General features: G+C 54.0%; 4 protein-coding genes across 21 annotated transcripts in view, besides 3 other annotated features; 3 read left to right on the plus strand and 1 right to left on the minus strand.

The window, feature by feature from the left end:
* The window catches only part of NOP9 (NOP9 nucleolar protein), a 37,922-nt gene extending 33,540 nt beyond the window's left edge, over nucleotides 1–4,382 (plus strand). For all 8 annotated transcript variants that reach the window (XM_047431054.1, XM_047431053.1, XM_047431052.1 and 5 more), the window contains one exon: nucleotides 196–4,382. In XM_047431054.1, coding sequence (XP_047287010.1) covers nucleotides 196–353 — 158 coding nt within the window. In that variant the 3' untranslated portion in view covers nucleotides 354–4,382. The remainder of the gene's footprint in view (nucleotides 1–195) is intronic.
* CIDEB (cell death inducing DFFA like effector b) lies at nucleotides 445–6,693 on the minus strand. 9 transcript variants are annotated; one of them, NM_001393337.1, is made up of 8 exons: nucleotides 5,907–6,693; nucleotides 5,711–5,806; nucleotides 3,737–4,088; nucleotides 3,076–3,178; nucleotides 2,629–2,773; nucleotides 1,632–1,781; nucleotides 1,205–1,395; nucleotides 445–1,023 (listed from the first exon to the last, which is right to left on the minus strand). In NM_001393337.1, the coding sequence occupies exons 4-8, from the start codon at nucleotides 3,114–3,116 to the stop codon at nucleotides 891–893; spliced, it is 660 nt and encodes a 219-aa protein (NP_001380266.1). In that variant the 5' UTR covers nucleotides 3,117–3,178; nucleotides 3,737–4,088; nucleotides 5,711–5,806; nucleotides 5,907–6,693; the 3' UTR covers nucleotides 445–890. The 9 variants fall into 9 exon arrangements, with proteins under 9 accessions (NP_001380266.1, NP_001305736.1, NP_001380267.1 ...); NM_001318807.3 differs by having other exon boundaries at nucleotides 5,665–5,806; NM_001393338.1 differs by having other exon boundaries at nucleotides 3,076–3,211; nucleotides 5,665–5,806.
* On the plus strand, nucleotides 5,398–7,296 carry LTB4R2 (leukotriene B4 receptor 2). Of its 2 annotated transcripts, none has more exons than NM_001164692.3 (2): nucleotides 5,398–5,513; nucleotides 5,857–7,296. In NM_001164692.3, exon 2 carries the CDS (start codon nucleotides 5,923–5,925, stop codon nucleotides 6,997–6,999), a length of 1,077 nt encoding a protein of 358 aa, NP_001158164.1. In that variant the 5' UTR covers nucleotides 5,398–5,513; nucleotides 5,857–5,922; the 3' UTR covers nucleotides 7,000–7,296. The 2 variants fall into 2 exon arrangements, with proteins under 2 accessions (NP_001158164.1, NP_062813.2); NM_019839.5 differs by having other exon boundaries at nucleotides 5,913–7,296.
* Nucleotides 6,244–6,343: a silencer, noted in NCBI's record as "silent region_5635". NCBI's record gives its function as "represses an Ori minimal core promoter by ATAC-STARR-seq in GM12878 lymphoblastoid cells {active_cell/tissue: GM12878}" and the evidence as "EXISTENCE:reporter gene assay evidence [ECO:0000049][PMID:35858748]".
* Nucleotides 6,544–6,673: a silencer, noted in NCBI's record as "silent region_5636". NCBI's record gives its function as "represses an Ori minimal core promoter by ATAC-STARR-seq in GM12878 lymphoblastoid cells {active_cell/tissue: GM12878}" and the evidence as "EXISTENCE:reporter gene assay evidence [ECO:0000049][PMID:35858748]".
* On the plus strand, nucleotides 6,760–13,294 carry LTB4R (leukotriene B4 receptor). 2 transcript variants are annotated; one of them, NM_001143919.3, is made up of 2 exons: nucleotides 6,760–7,062; nucleotides 10,895–13,294. In NM_001143919.3, exon 2 carries the CDS (start codon nucleotides 10,910–10,912, stop codon nucleotides 11,966–11,968), a length of 1,059 nt encoding a protein of 352 aa, NP_001137391.1. In that variant the 5' UTR covers nucleotides 6,760–7,062; nucleotides 10,895–10,909; the 3' UTR covers nucleotides 11,969–13,294. The 2 variants fall into 2 exon arrangements, with proteins under 2 accessions (NP_001137391.1, NP_858043.1); NM_181657.3 differs by lacking the exon at nucleotides 6,760–7,062 and adding an exon at nucleotides 8,365–10,278.
* Nucleotides 11,338–11,838: an enhancer, noted in NCBI's record as "H3K4me1 hESC enhancer chr14:24785286-24785786 (GRCh37/hg19 assembly coordinates)". NCBI's record gives its function as "activates a minimal SCP1, AML or CMV promoter by ChIP-STARR-seq in naive H9 embryonic stem cells {active_cell/tissue: H9 hESC(naive)}" and the evidence as "EXISTENCE:reporter gene assay evidence [ECO:0000049][PMID:30033119]".
* Nucleotides 13,295–13,555: the final 261 nt, after the last annotated feature.

The following is a 13,555-nucleotide window of genomic DNA, read 5'->3' on the forward strand; positions in this document are numbered from 1 at the left end:
CCCCTTCCCTCCCGCTGACTGATTGTGTAGTCCTCTGCCCTCACCCTGCCCTCTGACTTCTGTTCTTTGGAAAGTGAAGTGTTCACTTTATCCCAGTGGCAGTCCCAGGGTCTGGGGGAAATGGAGGGATCTTTACGTCAAGTAGAGTCTGTCTTTGAGCATGGTAGTACTAAACATGAGTGGTTCCCTTTGCAGGGGAGCAGAACCAGGAGCTGATAAGAGACCCTTTCGGCCACCATGTGGCTCGAAATGTGGCCTTGACTACCTTCCTAAAGCGGCGAGAGGCTTGGGAACAGCAGCAGGGTGCGGTGGCCAAGCGGAGGCGGGCATTGAACTCCATACTTGAAGACTGAGGCTTTGGATCTGGGACTGGGTGTTGATGGGGGAGGGCAAAATGGGGTATCCACCCCATCCCTTTCCTGGTTTAAATTGGAGTCAGAAGTCTTAGTGGTAAATATTTGATATTTTTATTGGAAATGTTTTTGTTAGTTTGAGGGGAAGGGTATGAAGACAGATCTCAAGGTAAAGTCAGAGAGGGCTGTCATCAGTATGCTGGGGAGTTTAGGGACAGGAGGCATTGGTAGGGGATTAGATGTAGCAGCAGTCAGGCTGGGATCAAGATGCCTGGGGGACATCTTGATCTTGGCCTTTCAGGGCAAGTGGGAGGCCAGAAAGGTGGCTAGGAAAGAACAGCATTCTTCAGGTAAGGGTATAGACTTGGGATGTGAGGCGTTATGCTGAAAGGTTCTGTCACGAGGGGATCAGAGGACAGTGGGGAAATTGGGTGGGTTATCTAGCCTGTACTGTCTGCAGGTCCTGAAATTTGATGCTGTCATAGTCTTTGCAGTGGGTCGGTTGGAATGATTCTGGGGGCAGAAGCTCAGAGCCCCTTAGTAGGAATGGAGGCGGCCCTTCTGCTGCCACTGCTCAGCCCCCTCCACTGCATGACGAAGGGTGGAGGAAATTCCCAGCAACATATGGCCCAGGCCTTGCAGCAGTGTGGAGGTCCAACGAAGGAGCTCCCTGAATGGCAGAGACAAGAGGAAATCAGATGATTTGGAAAACTTGGGAGGAAGCCATCAAGCTGGGAGATGAGGACTTTCCACAAGCAAGAGCTAACTAGGGGTAGGTGGGTGCAAGAGGACGAATTATGGGGACTATCCAACTGTAGGGGATGGGGCAGTATGACATGTTGATTTCTGACCTGAGTACTTTCTTTGGGCCAAGTCCTTGAAAGTCACAACTCATAGAGTAGAGCCCGTAGAATGTGGCTTTGACATTCAGGCTGCCAAAGAGGTCTCGAGGGTTTTGCTTGTACACGTCAAAGGTGAATCGGGCGATGTCCTTGCTGTGCTTGGGCCTCTCCCGTCCCAGGCCATATGACAGCACTCCACTCTGTAGGACACCCTTGTCAGTGCAGTAGATCCTCATACCAGACACCCACCACTAATCTCCATCAGCACTGGGTCAGACCCTCCCTCGCTTGGACTTTCTGTCCACTGTGTGACATCCTTGACAATTCCACAACTCCTCCTGCACCTGGTCCCCAGGATCAGGGTTAAGCTAGAGAGGAAGCCCGGGAAAGCTCTAAAGGACAGGCATTGGAAGCAGCCCCAGTATAGGCCTCTTACCCTTGTAGGGCTCCAGCTCTGACCAGACTGCAACACCATCAGGCACGTGTCATCCTCCAGCAGCTGGAAGAAGTCCTCACTGTCCACTGCAGTTCCATCCTCCTCTAGCACCAGGGTTAGCACTCCATTCAGCAGTAGGGTCTCCAATGCCTGCCCAATGGCAAGAAGCAAGAAGGGCAGGTCTTATCCCATGCCCCTTCCCTCTTTAGCTGCCCAACATCCATCAGTTGGCTCTAGACATTGGTCGATGTCCCACTTTGACTTTCCGGCACTTTGATACCTCCTAAAGGTTGCAGCTCTCCGTGTTCTTCAGTTTTTGGGGGATCCTAGCTAGAGGCTGACCTTTTTCCTCTTTGCTCCTACCATGTCATTGGCATCTCCCCTTGCTCCCCTCCAAGTCACTTCTGGTTTGGAATTGGAAAGCAAGCCAGGTTCTCACGAAGTCCACCCTTCTGTCTTATCTACAATGCTGCACCTCACTTCCCACACCCTCAAGAGTTCTCCAGAAGTGTTTTCAGTAATAGTGTTTAACCTTTTTGAGTCCTTACTCTGTGCCAGGTATGAGGACTTTACCTACATTATCCTCTTACTCCTTTCAACAACCCTAGGAGGTGATGTATTATTATTGCCTTTTTATAGTTGAAGAAACTGAGGTTTTGGTAGGTTGAACAACTTCCCAAGGTTTGACAGGCAGGAAGTGGCAGAATCAGAATTTGAACTTGATTTGTCACACAAATCACCTTTCCATACTAGCTTCTGAATTCTGTCCCTCGAACTCTCCCTATCTCCTGCTAACCCCTGCTCCCATAGAAAAGCTCACTCGGTGGAAAATGAACAAATTGACCAGAGCTCATTAGGCCCACTCCGCTGCTTTTAGCCCTCAGAGGGAGGGGCAGCTGTGTGACTTCAGCCCTCTGCTCCATCATCACAAGTTGCCACTGTTGTGGAGCCCCTTGGCTACCCCTGCTATAGGAACCGAGGAACTTGGCCTACTTACTTTGGCTAGCAGCTCCTGGCGGGTGGCAGCTGTCAGGCCTTTCCGGATGGTCCGCTTGTGATCACAGACACGGAAAGGTCGCTGGGGTGGTGGAGCTGAGGTCCAGACCCTCCGTCCAAACTCCGAGCTTATATTAGATACTGACCTGGTAGTTGAGAAGAAAAGTCAAGAAGGGGCGAGGAGGGGCTTGGTGAGTGTAAAGGGCATGATGAGGGTAGAGTGGCTAGAGGGCTAGGGAGGGAGAGATCTAGGTTTATCGATTAGGGATGAGGGAGAGACCATGGAGTGCAGGTGGGGGCGGGTGGCTCAGGAGCTTGACAAGCCCACTGTGGAGTGGGGAGCAGGAGAGGAAGGGGTACTGGTTAGTCTCCTAGGGGCTGAGTGGAGTATTGTTGCCCTGCCTATATCCCCTAAAGGTGGAGGGTAGAGCGGAGGGTTAGCAGTCACCTGAGTAAGTCACTGGGGTTCAGAGCTGAGAGGTACTCCATGGTGGACCGGAGAGTTCCTTCCCTGGAACTTCTGGGCTGGGTGGTTCTCTCCTGTGCTGGGGCTTTAGTGGTGTTTTCTGTTACAAACCTGGGATCTCAGCCCAGGACAAGGTGGGAATGAGTCAAGCCTGGACTCTGGCCCCCCTGCCTGGCCAGTAAGAAGGGCAAAGTCCAAGGGGAGGGATGAGGGAGGGGCCAGATGGGGTCCTGGAGGAAGAATTGCCTGGCAAAAGCCATTGGAGCTTGTATGTGTGTCTTTGGTGATGACATGTGTTGTGAGGGTAGATGGGAACCATGTAAAAGGATGAAATGTGACTTCTGGTGTTTTTTTATTTCTATGGAGGGAATTTCTGGGGACGGTTTCTGGCTCTCAGGCTCTGAGAAGCTGCAGTTTATGAGTGGCTCTGTGTGTGCTGCCACCTACTGGAGAAGCCATAAGCTGCAGCTTTAGGAAAAGGGAACCCGGGGCAGAGTGTGGGGAAGTGGGATGGCAGCATGGCAGGGCTTTGGAAAATGAGAGGTGAGACTGTGTCCAGGAAGGGTGTAAGGAGAGGATGGATCCTGATACATGGATTCAGGATCATTAGGGTCCTGTCTGGGACACTGGCCTTCCTGCTTACCTGCTCTTTCCTTCCTCCTTGGTCGGAGGAGGGGCTGGCTCACTGCTCTGGCTTCATTTTCCAGAGCTGCCTGCTGCAGTCACACTTAGGTCATCTTCTCTCACTTTTCTCCTTTTGCCGATTAGTGGACGTGACAGAGATGTGAATGGGGCAGGGATGTCCTTTGATGGCATCAAGACTTTAGCTTCTGGTGCGCTGTGTCCCAGCTCTGATTTCAGTTGCAGCCGTGATGGACAGTTGCATGGAAGCTGAGACTCTCACTGACAGTGAAACCCTCAAATGAACACAATCCCTGCTTTCCTGCCAAGGATCCTTGTAGGGTCCCCCAGCTTCCCCACTTTTTTTCTGTGTCCTGACAAAGAAACACAGAGTAACTTGATTGCCCTGTGACCTGGCCAGTTGCATTTCCCCTGCAGGCTTGAGCCCAAGCCAGAGCCTTGAAAAGGTATTCAGGTTGTTGCCCAAAACACTGAAAAAAACTGGCCCTGGCCCTGAACCAAATACCTTGAACCCTCGTAAACTCCATACCCTGACCCCCTTGTTTTGGATATACCCAGGTAGAACAACTCTCTCTCACTGTCTGTTGTGAGGATACGCTGTAGCCCACTCATTAAGTACATTCTCCTAATAAATGCTTTGGACTGATCACCCTGCCAGTCTTTTGTCTTGGGCAATCTATACTTTTCTCAGAGGTTCCCAAGGCCTACTGAAGGGACTTAACATACTCTTAATGGCTTTCCTCTCTCTTGTTTTACCTTATGCCCTCACTTCCTGAGTTAACCTCCCAAATACAGGATCACCTGTACCCAAGCCCTTAGCTCAAGAATACAGGATCACCTGTACCCAAGCCCTTAGCTCAAGCTCTGCTTTGGAAGAACCCAAACTAAGACAGTGCTCCTGGTGCCCTCCCCAAGCAACCTCAAGTTCTGGCTGTTACTTGAGCAGAGGCCTTTCTTTTCCCTTCCCCCAGCTCTATCCATCTGCCAGGCCCCCCTCAAATCTCTTCATTTCCAAGTTTTGCTTGACTTTTCCAAGAGGAGAGGGCTGCTTCTTAGTATGTCCCTACTCATCCTTTCCTTTCTTGTCTTGTATCCTGGTGCAGCCTGGTAATGGGGCCTCTTCATGGTTGTGTGTCATGACTCCCTAACCATTATGCCTCCATGCATCCCCTGTTCCTCCTGGAACCTAGCACCATGCCTTACATGGAAAAGCTGTCATTGACAGCCCGGTGAGAGCCCTGAGGGTGGAGTGACTGGGGCAGGGCCTGAGGCAAGAGGTGGGAGGAGGTAGGAGGCCAGGGGCTCAGCCGGACCAGGAGACTGGAAACAGGCAAGGATAAGGCAGGTGGGGGACTGAGTTGTTTGGGTCACCTCTGCAGGCCAGAGAGACCAGGCAACATACACACTGCAGAAGGTGGGCTGGGAGGATTGGGGCCAGAGCTGGGGGAGGGATGAGAACAGAAGCAGGACCAGGATTCAGCAGAGTCCTCCTATTTCCTTCCACCACCAGGGAATCTTACTGCCCCACTTCAGCTTGTGCTGTTTCCTGGCAAGGCAGGCTCTCACATGCCTGGACGCCTGGGTGCGTTGGTGATGGGAAGGAGCAGGGTGAGGGAGGGGCCCCAGGAGAGGCCCAGGATGAGCCTCATCTTGTCCCTCCCCATTCTTGTCTTACCCTCTGCAAATGTGATAGGCACAGGACAGGAGTAGGCACCTCGCCTACTGCTGCTTAACCTTTCAGCTTCTCCAGGCCCCCAATCCTGCTTGCTCCCAGCTTGGTAAGTAGATCTGTGCACGTCCCTTTACACCCCACCATCCAGTTTTGCCCAGATGTGCTAGAATGGGGCTGGACAAAGAAGGAGGGGCCAGACTAGAGGAGTGGTGGTAGAGATAGTGACAGCCTGGGGTGATGACTTTATGCCTGTTTACCACTGAGCTCTGGGAAGGAGGCCAGGAGTGGGGCAGGTCAACTGACTGGGAGCAGGGGATCTGGGTTCCAAGAAGGAGTTGTGTTTGAGGTGGGGTCTGGGTCCTCGTGGAAGTCAGGACTCCCAGGCAGAAAAGAGGCAGGCTGCAGGGAAGTAAGGAGGAGGCATGGCACCTTCTCATCGGGCATCACAGGTGGGGTTTTGCCCCACCCCTGAACGCCCTCTGTGGCGCCTTCCACCCACCTGTAGGCCCAGAAGGATGTCGGTCTGCTACCGTCCCCCAGGGAACGAGACACTGCTGAGCTGGAAGACTTCGCGGGCCACAGGCACAGCCTTCCTGCTGCTGGCGGCGCTGCTGGGGCTGCCTGGCAACGGCTTCGTGGTGTGGAGCTTGGCGGGCTGGCGGCCTGCACGGGGGCGACCGCTGGCGGCCACGCTTGTGCTGCACCTGGCGCTGGCCGACGGCGCGGTGCTGCTGCTCACGCCGCTCTTTGTGGCCTTCCTGACCCGGCAGGCCTGGCCGCTGGGCCAGGCGGGCTGCAAGGCGGTGTACTACGTGTGCGCGCTCAGCATGTACGCCAGCGTGCTGCTCACCGGCCTGCTCAGCCTGCAGCGCTGCCTCGCAGTCACCCGCCCCTTCCTGGCGCCTCGGCTGCGCAGCCCGGCCCTGGCCCGCCGCCTGCTGCTGGCGGTCTGGCTGGCCGCCCTGTTGCTCGCCGTCCCGGCCGCCGTCTACCGCCACCTGTGGAGGGACCGCGTATGCCAGCTGTGCCACCCGTCGCCGGTCCACGCCGCCGCCCACCTGAGCCTGGAGACTCTGACCGCTTTCGTGCTTCCTTTCGGGCTGATGCTCGGCTGCTACAGCGTGACGCTGGCACGGCTGCGGGGCGCCCGCTGGGGCTCCGGGCGGCACGGGGCGCGGGTGGGCCGGCTGGTGAGCGCCATCGTGCTTGCCTTCGGCTTGCTCTGGGCCCCCTACCACGCAGTCAACCTTCTGCAGGCGGTCGCAGCGCTGGCTCCACCGGAAGGGGCCTTGGCGAAGCTGGGCGGAGCCGGCCAGGCGGCGCGAGCGGGAACTACGGCCTTGGCCTTCTTCAGTTCTAGCGTCAACCCGGTGCTCTACGTCTTCACCGCTGGAGATCTGCTGCCCCGGGCAGGTCCCCGTTTCCTCACGCGGCTCTTCGAAGGCTCTGGGGAGGCCCGAGGGGGCGGCCGCTCTAGGGAAGGGACCATGGAGCTCCGAACTACCCCTCAGCTGAAAGTGGTGGGGCAGGGCCGCGGCAATGGAGACCCGGGGGGTGGGATGGAGAAGGACGGTCCGGAATGGGACCTTTGACAGCAGACCCTACAACCTGCTGCCCTTCCCTGTCCCTTTCCACCCCCCACCCACCCTCCAGAGGTCAGTGTTCTGGGACATTTGGGGACCCTTCTTTGACTAGAGTTTGGATCTGGCTGGGTAGGATTACTATACACTTGGGGCAGGCCCAGGCTCCTCCAAACTGAGGGATTATGAGGGTGGTGATGGTCCCTGTTAAGGACTATTGTGTGCTTGCAAGTTGGCATGTACCCATGTGCCAGCATTGCTTACTTGTTGCCAATAGCTGTTATTGTGAAATACACTGGGAAGCCATTAGATGATGACTTAAGTGTGCTTCCCCTGGTGGTTCTTCATGCCTGAGTTGTACTGAAGCCACCTAGTTCCCTGCTGGGTCAAGCCAGGCTGGGCAGTGCCAGCCTTCAGTGGCATCTTGACCTGCCCTCCTCAGCCCAGGTGCCCTGGTTCCACAGGCCAACCCATAGAACCACTCTGGAAATAAAGGAGAAAATGGAAGGAGAGGTATGGGAGCTTGGATGAGGGGTAGGAATGGGATCCATTCTCTGAGGCTTATAAAAGCCTCTGAGGAGGAAATGGCTCTGAAGGGGAAAATGAATCTGTGGGGTTTGAAAAGGAAGTTTTCCTGCCTGTCTTGTATTTGGTCCAGTGAGTATGAGACAGGCACACAAGGAGTGGACAGTGGTGTAGGGGCCCTGGGAGTCTGAGACTTACCTTGCCCCCTGACCATCTGATCCTCCCTGCAAAGGCCACCTGACGTGAAAAGGAGCCAGGAGCAAGCACTCAGTCAGGGAAGTTTGGAGGTTGGCCATTGGGGTATGAGGAATGGCAGGAATATTTAGAGGACAGGAATAATTTTTCAGAGAAGTGCCACATATTCTTTTTCTCTTTGCCAAGTCTGGGCTCCTTCTAAGATGCTGCTAGCTATTCCTAGCCCGTTCCCCAATACTTCTCTGCCCCCACCTTTTGGAATCCTTATCTAGGTCTAAAAACGGTTCTAGATCCTGACCCCTTTGATTGGGGGATGTAGAATGGGATTCTTTTCAGGGGACATCCACAAGTACACATCTGTGGTCACTAAGGTGACCAGCTCATCCCAGTTGGCCTGGAACTTTCCCAGTTTAAGCACTGAAAACTCCTTGTCCCAGCCCTGCCGGTTTCCCAACAAACTGAGATGGTTGGCCGCTCAAGTGGCTACCCTGACCATCACCCCAGGCTCTACTTTAGCGACTGCTCACACCTCCCTGCTTCCCAGACAGAAGTCAAAACAGCAAAAGAAACCCAGTCCCCAGGGTCATGCTAGGGCTACCAAAACTGGGATGAACTAGCACCTGTGAACTAGAACAGCAGGGAGTATGCTTAGAGTGCCTGGTCCTGGGTGTGGGGAAGAAAGGCCATCAAGGTAGATGCGGGTGGGGAACAGCTTGAGAGAGGAGGCAAGGACAACCCAGTTTCTGTCTGAAGGGGCCTCTGGTTGACCCTGGAGTTTCTGTCCCCAAACACAGGCCTCACGGGATTCTTTCTGTCCTCATGCACTGGGCAGAGGTTCCTTAACTTCCTTTGTTGCACATTGCCATTCTCTCACATCCCGTGCGGTCAGGAAGCCCTTCCTGAACTCTGACTTCAGTTCTTGCTGCGGTTTCTGCCCATTTTTTTCATATCCTCTGACAGCTGCGAGGTCATCTCTGCTCTGGCTTTTCTCCAAGCAGAACAAGTGGGGGCTCTGGAAAGGTTAAGGGACCTCAGTGGCCACCATTATACTTTGCATCTTTCCTGAGAAGTGAGAGTTGAAAGGGAAGCAGGAAGGCCCATGGTCAGATTGAAGGAAGGACTTTTTAGTTTCTTTTTTTTTTTTTTTTTTTTTTGAGATGGAGTCTCGCTCTGTCATTCAGGCTGGAGTGCAGTGGTGCGATCTCAGCTCACTGCAGCCTCCACTTCCTGGGTTCACATGATTCTCCTGCCTCAGCCTCCCAAGTAGCTGAGACTACAGGCACATGCCACTACACCCAGCTATCTTTTGTATTTTTAGTAGAGACGGGGTTTCACCATGTTGGCCAGGCTGGTCTCAAACTGCTAACATCAAGTGATCTGCTCCCCTCAGCCTCCCAAAGTGCTGGGATTACCGGTATGAACCACCACAACCTGCCAGGAATTTTTAGTTTTTAGCTTTTGCAGGAGACTTCAAGGAAAGGAGACATTCCTCTGTCCAGGAAACGGGTAAGGGGACCATTTCTGCATTGCTGGTTTCCCCTCTTGGCAGGGTGGGCATGAGGCATCACTGTTCCTGCTCCCTCACTCCTGCTCCTCATGCTCAGCCTGCCAGCTCGGCCTCAACTTTGTGTGTCTAAAGTGGAACTGAATAGTAGGCTGTGAGAAGATAGGAAAGAGGTAGTGCCAATCTCCTTGCCCAGATCATAAATCCAGACTCAGCAGGGTAACCACATGGGCAAGCACAAGGTAGGTGCTTGGGGAAAGGGGAAGTAATTGGCATTCTGTGTGATACCAAGGAGACCATTTGGATTTTGGCTTCTACCAAAGAGAATGGAGAATTGGTTGACCTAAATGGAACCAGTCCCTTTAAGTAAGGGGAGGAAAGGGGGTGCTGGAAGATGGCCCTCTTCCCACCACCTAGATCATAGCTTGAACTGAAGCCAAGGACAGAGTGCTGCCCCCTTCGGCATTTACTGATGTGCCCTCTTTAAATCATGATGTTATCTAACCCAAACCCAGACCCAGGACCTAGTCACAGCTCCAACCTACACTTCCTATTAATCTTAAAACAAAGCAAAACAAAACAAAAAGATATCAGCATTGTAGCCTCCAATCTGAGCCCATTTCCCTTCTCTGGCTACCATACCTCCTTCTCCTATATGATACCATTCACTACTTTGTTCAATTATCCAGTCTAGACCTGCATCTTGAGGCCACACCCAGCCTTCTCACTCCCCACACCCCTCTTTCCTCTCTCACTGCTCCTTCCTGGTCTCTTCTCATCTGGCCCCACCTCTAAGGAGTCCTCCTGCCTTCTGGGTTGCCCTGGAAAACAGACTATCCCCCCTCCTAGTGAAGGGAGTGGGTAGGGGTTTCAGCCCCACCCTCAGGAAGATGCGTCTTCCCTGTCCTCTGCTCTGTGGTACTTCCTCTCTGGCTGATTTAGCAAACAGCACCTAGACCTGGGGCCAGGCCTTTGGCAGTGGGACAGATCCAGGGATAGGCTACACCACCCTGCCCTGACCCTGGGATTGGCATCAGCTTCCAACCAGTTCCTGCCAAAGCTTGTAAGTAAGTTTCCTGGGAGCGGCCGTGGTTGTGGTGGTGGTGGGACAGTGTGCAGCCATGAAAGAAGGTGCAAAGGAATCTCCAAAGAAAGCCTGACCAGCGTAAAAAGTTGGGAGGCTTTGTCCTTGTCACTTGTCCACTAAACTCCTCCCCTCCCTGTTATTCCTGGTTGACCCTGGGCATCTCTGGGGACAGTAGGCAGGTGATTGGGAAAGTTAATGGGATTGAGGGGCTGAGGGCCTGGCAGGGGGCAAAAAGACTGGCCTTTCAAGGGGTGCAGCATTGGTAGGAACTCTGTTTGGTTCTGGGCTTTAGGGTCTCCTAAGGGGAGGAGACTGAAAAGGTCTGGAAATGCTGCTGCTGCTGTGGTCACTGTATATTTTGCAATTGGGTCTGTGGACAGGAAGGGGCCGCATGACCCAGTTAGGAAACTAGTCTTTGTACTCAACCAGATCCCTTTAAGTTGTCAGTCTGCAGCGATGGGGGCAGTATATTTCAGGGGGACCTCTGATGCTGCTGACCCTGGAGATAGACTAGAGTTCTCAGCCTAGGTGTGTCCATGGCGTCAGGAAACCCTTGGTCCTCTACTCTCATGCGTGTGTCCGCCCTCACTCTCCAGGTCCTCCCGACGGCCATGAACACTACATCTTCTGCAGCACCCCCCTCACTAGGTGTAGAGTTCATCTCTCTGCTGGCTATCATCCTGCTGTCAGTGGCGCTGGCTGTGGGGCTTCCCGGCAACAGCTTTGTGGTGTGGAGTATCCTGAAAAGGATGCAGAAGCGCTCTGTCACTGCCCTGATGGTGCTGAACCTGGCCCTGGCCGACCTGGCCGTATTGCTCACTGCTCCCTTTTTCCTTCACTTCCTGGCCCAAGGCACCTGGAGTTTTGGACTGGCTGGTTGCCGCCTGTGTCACTATGTCTGCGGAGTCAGCATGTACGCCAGCGTCCTGCTTATCACGGCCATGAGTCTAGACCGCTCACTGGCGGTGGCCCGCCCCTTTGTGTCCCAGAAGCTACGCACCAAGGCGATGGCCCGGCGGGTGCTGGCAGGCATCTGGGTGTTGTCCTTTCTGCTGGCCACACCCGTCCTCGCGTACCGCACAGTAGTGCCCTGGAAAACGAACATGAGCCTGTGCTTCCCGCGGTACCCCAGCGAAGGGCACCGGGCCTTCCATCTAATCTTCGAGGCTGTCACGGGCTTCCTGCTGCCCTTCCTGGCTGTGGTGGCCAGCTACTCGGACATAGGGCGTCGGCTACAGGCCCGGCGCTTCCGCCGCAGCCGCCGCACCGGCCGCCTGGTGGTGCTCATCATCCTGACCTTCGCCGCCTTCTGGCTGCCCTACCACGTGGTGAACCTGGCTGAGGCGGGCCGCGCGCTGGCCGGCCAGGCCGCCGGGTTAGGGCTCGTGGGGAAGCGGCTGAGCCTGGCCCGCAACGTGCTCATCGCACTCGCCTTCCTGAGCAGCAGCGTGAACCCCGTGCTGTACGCGTGCGCCGGCGGCGGCCTGCTGCGCTCGGCGGGCGTGGGCTTCGTCGCCAAGCTGCTGGAGGGCACGGGCTCCGAGGCGTCCAGCACGCGCCGCGGGGGCAGCCTGGGCCAGACCGCTAGGAGCGGCCCCGCCGCTCTGGAGCCCGGCCCTTCCGAGAGCCTCACTGCCTCCAGCCCTCTCAAGTTAAACGAACTGAACTAGGCCTGGTGGAAGGAGGCGCACTTTCCTCCTGGCAGAATGCTAGCTCTGAGCCAGTTCAGTACCTGGAGGAGGAGCAGGGGCGTGGAGGGCGTGGAGGGCGTGGGAGCGTGGGAGGCGGGAGTGGAGTGGAAGAAGAGGGAGAGGTGGAGCAAAGTGAGGGCCGAGTGAGAGCGTGCTCCAGCCTGGCTCCCACAGGCAGCTTTAACCATTAAAACTGAAGTCTGAAATTTGGTCAACCTTGTGAGTGGGGTACATGTGCTGTGGGTATCGGGGTGCTCGTGGGCGCCCTGGTGGGGCCCCTCTCGGTAGTTGAGAGTCACGTCCTTTAGTTCCCCATGATTTACAATTTTGGAAGGGACACAAAGAAACATAGACTTCCCCCATCCCAGATGATTCCGAGTACATAGTCTGCAGATAATACTTAGCAAAACGCAGTCTACAGACTCCTAAAGCAGCTTGTCTAGGAAGACCACCCATGTGGGCTTATCACTCCAGGTTCTGTGACCCGGGACCTTCTGAGAAAACAGCACTGCTGTGAAATATCTTCCTTGAAGCCTGTGATAAGTCTCCTTGTTAGAATGACTCCAACTTCCTGCCAATAATCTTTGTCCTCTCCATAGGAGATGTTCTAGGGGATGCCTTCCTTCCCTCCATTTCACAAAGAGGCCAGACTTGAGGACTAAGTCATTAGATCTTATCCCTTAGAATTTTGCATATCAGCATCTGCTAACCTCCACAACACACCCTGGCACAGGGTGGGGCTGAGGGCCCCAGGAAACAAAGATTCCCAAAAGTGAGAGGGATGAGTCATTATTTCCTAGAGATGACTGTTGTTTTAGAGAACCTTGGTCCAACTCTGTTCTGACAAGGTTTTAGGAAGATGGCAACAACAGTGGCAGCAGTGTACTTTTTGGATCTTTCTCATAAAAAAACAAAAGAGCAAGTAAGAGAGGGAAACCAAATATCCACATGCAACATCCGCAACAAATCTAGTATGTCAAGGTTTGACATACTCCCATGGACCCCAAAGTATGAGCCAGTGAGAATGAGTCATCAATATCTCAAGACCCATATACCAGCATCTGTGCAGAAGGATGCAGAAGGAAGCAAAGGGATGTTGGATGGACCTAAGAAGAGGAGATCCCCAAGCTGTCTACAGATCCTTACTGGAAGGTATGGTGCACCAATTTGAGAACAGCAGCTGAAACTGGGAGGGACCTAACGGAGTATTTCCCAGTCCTCTCGCCCATTCTGTATGGTGAGCACATAATAGGTACTTATTTAGTGTTTGTCGAATTAATAAAGTTCAAATGACATTTCCCTGGAGATTCTTCCGGTATTTTTGAGTAGGGGGCAGGAAAGGGCAAATTTTTGTTTTGAGTCATGTGGCTAAATTCTTTATGCTTCCAAGGTGTACAAAATACTATAATCAAGTTGGCAGAGAGGCTGAGGGAGTTCTCTTCCTGAGCTTGTGAAAAAAATCACTCCCTTTCAAAATGCTTAGTCTCACATGCATGCATGTGTGCAGGCATGTGCACACACATTCACACACACACTCGCACTAAAATTGGCCTGGGAAGAAGAAGA

The sequence above is a fragment of the Homo sapiens genome, chromosome 14, assembly GCF_000001405.40.
Source record: "Homo sapiens chromosome 14, GRCh38.p14 Primary Assembly".
Taxonomy (NCBI): Eukaryota; Metazoa; Chordata; class Mammalia; order Primates; family Hominidae; genus Homo; species Homo sapiens.